Here is a 6,001-nt window from a genome sequence, read left to right as displayed (position 1 = left end):
TACTAATCTTAGCAAGAGGATATTGCCTAACCCAACCTAAAAGCAGCAGAGTCATTACAGAAATATTATGTTGGCCTTGATTTCTACCCCACCATGAGTTATGCTACTCACCAGGTAGCCTGTTTTGTTTTTCATTTTTAGAGACAGGGTCTCACTCTGTCACCCAGGTTGGAGTGCAGTGTCACAATCATAGCTTACTATGACCTCAAACTCTTAGGCTCAAATGATCCACCTCAGCCTCCCAAGTAGCTGGGACCACAGGTGTCTGCCACTACACTTGGCTAATTTTTTAATTTTTTGTAGAGATAGGAGCTTGCTAAGTTGCCCAGGTTGGTTTGGAACTCCTGGCTTCAAGCAGTCCTCCCGCCTTGGGCTCCCAAAGTGCTGAGGTTACAGGCGTGAGCCACTGTGCCCAGCATGTGCCCTGTTTTAAGTGTATCTCCTGCTGTAGTCCGTTACATGTGCACATCTCTTCTGTGTTTACTGTGTACCTGCTCTATGCTGAGAAGAATGTCTTTTCAAAACTCACACCCTCCCTTAGGAGAGAGAGGTGGCCACATGAATGGAGAATGACTGCATAGCATGCTGAGGGCTGTGGTAAAAGAGGCTGAATGGTGAGCTGCCAGGTACGGCATCCTTCCTGTGCAGCTGACATGGTGCCTGACACATGTCTGCCTGACCAAAGGGGCAGAAGAGGCTTCTCAGGGGAAGTTCTGTTTGAGGTCTTCAGCAGTTCAACAGCTGGGGAAAGGTATTCCAGGAGCGAGTGAGTTTGGATGCCATGTGCGTTGGTGGTGTGCTTGAAGTAGAGCAAACGGGGTGGAGGCAAATGAGCCTGAAAAGGAAAGAGATGGGACAGGATCCTACTGTGGAAGAGTTTTCTGTAAGCAGTGGGAAGCCACAGAAGGATTTTAAGTGGGCCATTCACATTGTGTTTTATTTTGAGACAGGGTCTCACTGTCACCCAGGCTGGAGTACAGTGGCATGATCAAGGCTCACTGAAGCCTCAACCTCCCAGGCTAAAGCAATCCTCCTGCTTCAACCTCCCAATTAGCTGAGAGCACAGCTGTGTAAAAATTTAATTTTTTTTTTTTTTGTAGAGACAGGATGTTGGCCAGGCTGGTCTCGAACTTTTGGGTTCAAGCGAAGCTCCCATCTCAGTCTCCCAAAGTGCCGGGATTACAGGCGTGAGCCACTGCACCTGGCCTATTTGTGTTTTAGAAAAACAACTGCTGGGCCGGGTGTGGTGGCTCACCCCTGTAATCCCAGCACTTTGGGAGGTTGAGGCAGGTGGATCACGAGGTCAAGAGATTGAGACCATCCTGGCCAACATGGTGAAACCCCGTCTCTACTAAAAATACAAAAAAATTTACCTGGGCGTGGTGGCATGCACCTGTAGTCCCAGCTACTTGGGAGGCTGAGGCAGGAGAATCACTTGAATCCCGGGGGCGGAGATTGCAGGGAGCCGAGATCGCACCACTGCACTCCAGCCTAGTGACAGAGTGAAATTCTGTCTCAGAAAAACAAAACAAAACAAAAAGAAACAACTGCTGGAGAGTTTGTGAAGGATTAGAGGGAGCAAGACGGGATGCTGGTTGGGATGGTGGTTGGGAGAGCAGATGCTATACACACCTGTGTCCCGGAGGTGGAAAGGGTCATCAGCCAGAGGAGTAACCGCCCTCTCTTCTCAGCTGTTTTGCTTGCACTCGTGATTGGTATAAACTGAGGGAGCAAATGTGTGTCCTCTTATTCACGTTGCCTAGTAAGTACCCAGGTGTGCAGTGAGCATACAAAACATCAAAACATATTTTCGTTTGGCTGAACTCTGGCTAATCAGAAACTAGAAGGAACAGACAGCTTAGAGACTTAAAGTTGGACTAGGAAGAAGTTGACAGGATGGATTAGAAGATAGCCACTTTAGGCTGGGTACAGTGGCTCATGCCTGTAATCCCAGCACTTTGGGAGGCCGAGGTGGGTGGATCACCTGAGGTCAGGAGTTCAAGACCAGCCTGGCCAACACAGTGAAACCCCATCTCTACTAATAATACAAAAAAATGAGGCAGGTGTGGTGGCAGGCACCTGTAATCCCAGCTACTCAGGAGGCTGAGGCAGGAGAATTGCTTGAAGCTGGGAGGTGGAGGTTGCAGTGAGCCAAGATCTCGCCACTGCACTCTAGCCTGGGTGACAGAGCGAGACTCTGTCTCATTAAAAAAAAAAAAAAAAAAAAAAAAACAACAACACTTTAGAGAGCCAAGGAGAGGGTGTCTGGGTACTTAGGGCAAAAGCCCAGTTGAGGAAACGCTGGGCGTGACAGCTAACTGGGGATTTTAGTACTCCACCTGGGAATGGAACTCAAACTTGAGCTAATAAATTGAATCTAGAAATCAGCCCCAAGGCTAGAGAAAGTGCCTGCCTTGCTCCTAGTGGAAGCTACTAGAAACTGAGAAGCCAACCCTGTGTGTCATAGGCCAGGCTGTGCCTAGCTCCATAAGGAAGCTCTGCGTTGTGCTTAGCCTTGAGATTCCCATCCTTAGATAATGTGGGCACCCTGAGATTATGTGAAGGAGGGCAGAGAAAAACCAAGAGCAGGGTCAATGACATGGACAGCAACAAGCAGAGCCCCCTTGGCATTTGTAACAGAGGTGACCCTTTGTAACTGTAGCCCAACAATGTTTCCATAAAAGACAGCCATAGATTTGAGCCAAATCATTTTTTGATTCATTTTTCCAATAAATAATTATTACCCCCTAGATGCCAGTTACAGATAGTTTATTCATTGGCAAAAGGTGGAGGTATGATAGCCAGGAGGGAAAGGTTCAGACTTACTGTCAATGTCATATTCCACACACAGACAAAAGGCATGTCCCATGAAGCAGGCACGGGCTGTGGCTGAGTTTGCTACATAAATGTGCTCAGATGACAAGCATCTTAACTTTCACTTAATCCTGAAGGTTTTTCACCCTCTGTTTTTTGTTTTGTTTTTTTTTTTTTGAGACAGAATCTCGCTCTGCCGCCCAGGCTGGAGTGCAATGGCACGATCTTGGCTCACTGCAACCTCCACCTCCCAGGTTCAAGCGATTCTCCTGCCTCAGCCTCCCGAGTAGCTGGATTACACGTGTGCACTAGCATCCCCAGCTAATTTTTGTATTTTTAGTAGAGACGGGGTTTCGCCATGTTGGCCAGGCTGGTCTTGAACTCCTGACCTAAGGTGATCCGCCTGCTTCAGTCTCCCAAAGTGCTGGAATTACAGGCGTGAGCCACTGCGCCCGGCCTCACCCACTGTTTTTATAAGTATCCCCCTCAATTTGTGTTCTCATTGTCTTCGGAAATTCAAAGGCTTGTTGTTGTTGCATGTTTGCATCCAGAGTCCAGGACTGCCTGACTGGGAGTAAATGGAAATGTGAGTTGCATCTTGCCTAATGAAGCTTATGTGATGACAGACCTGCTTAGAGTCTGCATGTGTCCTTTCCATGGCGTGCTCTAAATCTTCCTACTTTCCTTTACCATCCTGTCCTCATATACAAACTGTAACCCACTACCCATATCCTGTGGCAGACTACAACTCACATTAGCCATTGAATGCAAATGAGCCTCAATCAAAGAAGAAAGGAAATTAAAATTTACAGTATGTGTCTTCTCCGGTTGGCCTGAGGAGCCTCCATGACTCTCATAGCTATTTATTGCCCTTGGCATGCTGGTATTTTATGTGGGCAGGGTGAAACTGGCTGTGGTCAGGGTGAGACTTGAAGCTTTTGATTTGTTCCCTTATTTTGAAAGGGTTAAAAAGATGTTACATGTTTTGGTGTAATTTTAGTACTCATATTAATTTTGTCACATCTCTGTAAGCGAGGATGAAAAGAGAGTGCTCAATCACTGTTACTAGATCCATATTCTTACAGAGAACAAGTCTTCAAAAGGCAAGTTTTGATGACACTTGGGTTTTTTTCCCCCTTTTAATTTCTTTTAAATAACAGCTTTATTGAGATAGAATTCACCTACTACGAAATTTATCCTTTTAAAGTGTACGAGTCAGTGCTTTTTAGTATGTTCATAGAATTGTGCAACCATCACCATTATCTAATATCCGAACATTTTCATCACCCCTGAAAGAAACCCCACCCCCCATTATCAGTCACTCCCCATGCCTCCACACCCGCCTCCCACCCACAGCCTGTAGCAATCAATATTCTATTTTTGCCTCTGTGGATTCTCCTGTTCTGAATAATTCATATCAGTAGAATCATACCATATGTGGTCTTCTGCATTTGGCTTCTTTCCCGTCACATACTGTTTCCAAGGTTCATCCGGGTTGTGGCCTCTGTCAGTACTTCATTTCTTTTTATTGACAAATAATATGCCATTGTATGGATATGCCACTTTTTGTTTATCCATCAGTTGATTGACATTTTGGTTGCTTCTACTTTTTTTTTTTTTTCTTTGAGACAGGGTCTTATTCTGTCGCTCAGGCTGGAGTACAGCAGCGCAGTCATAGCTCATTGTAGCCTCAACCTCCCAGGCTTGAGCCATCCTCCCACCTCAGCCTCTCCAGTAGCTGGGACTACAGGCATGTGCCACCATGCTCAGCTAGTTTTTTGTAGAGACAGGGTTTTGCCTTGTTGCCCAGGCTGGTCTTGAACTCCTGGCCTCAAGTGATCCTCCTGCCTCGGCCTCCCAAAGTGCTGGGATTACAGGTGTGAACCACTGCTCCCAGCCACTTCTACTTTTTTGCTATTATGAATAATGTTGCTATGAACATTTGTGTAGAGGTTTTTGTGTGGACATGTGTTCCTAGTTCCCTTGGGTATATACCTAGGATTGGAATTGCTGGATCGTAAACTATTTTATCCTTTTGAGGAACTGCCAATTGTTTTCCAAAGTGACTACACCATTTTTCAATCACTCCAGCAATGTAGGAGGGTTCCAATTTTTCTACATCTTCACCAACAGTTATTGTCTTTTAAATGTTATTTCTTTAATGAAAAAACTTCATTTATGCACATAACACACACACACACACACACACACACACACACACACACACACACACACACACACACACACACACACACACACACACACACAGACTTATAATGGAAAGCCGAAAGTCTCCAGCCCTGTTTCACCCCTCCTTAGTCCAAGTCCCATTCCCAGCAAACCATCTTCCATTTTTATTTTTAGTTTTTCCAGTGACTATCATTATAATTCCAAAGATTGCTTGATTCATTATTTTTTCTTCTCTTTTTATTATGAAAACTTTCAATTATGTATAAAAGGAGAATAGTATAACCAACCCCCTGTACACATCCCCAGCTGCAACAACTGTCAACCCATGACCACTTTTACCCACTGTTTTTTGCTTTATCAGTGTTAGATGTCATACATTGATTTCCCTATTGAAGAAAGAGAATTTACCTAATTCTATCACTTCCAAATTTTTATAGTAAATTATTTTTAGTTCTTCTATTACCTTTGTGATTTTGATAAATCCCTAAACCTTGTGTTCTTGTTCCATCCACTGTGCACAGTGTTATTTAACTGCCCTCTTGTCCATGCAAGCTGGAGATAGCAATGCCCACCTCTCTTTTCTTCTGCTTTCACCTCCCAGCCATTTCCAGCTATAGCTCTTATATTATTCAGTGGATAGCAATTTATAGTCTGTTCTCCAACCATCATCAAGTCTTCTGTGCTTTGTCTATTGGTTGGTTCTAAGACTTGAGAATCAAGAGAATTTACATTATTATGACTTTAAATATCGTTCACTGTAGAGCCATATGGTGTACTGAGGATTACTTCTTTTTTCTGTAGACTCAGTATAACAATCCTTGTGCCAATGGGGGAAGAACGTTTTAGACATCCAGTTGATACCTTTTCTGTTCAGAAATATATGGTAATCCATAGCACTCTTGGACCCAAGGTGTCTTATTTACATCTTGTATGGCCTTGTGTTCTTTAATTATCTTGTGTGTTATGTCCCTAACTCGAGAGGGAACCCCTCGAGGGG

This window comes from Homo sapiens, chromosome 5 (assembly GCF_000001405.40).
Source record: "Homo sapiens chromosome 5, GRCh38.p14 Primary Assembly".
Taxonomy (NCBI): Eukaryota; Metazoa; Chordata; class Mammalia; order Primates; family Hominidae; genus Homo; species Homo sapiens.
This window is presented reverse-complemented; position numbering follows the sequence as displayed.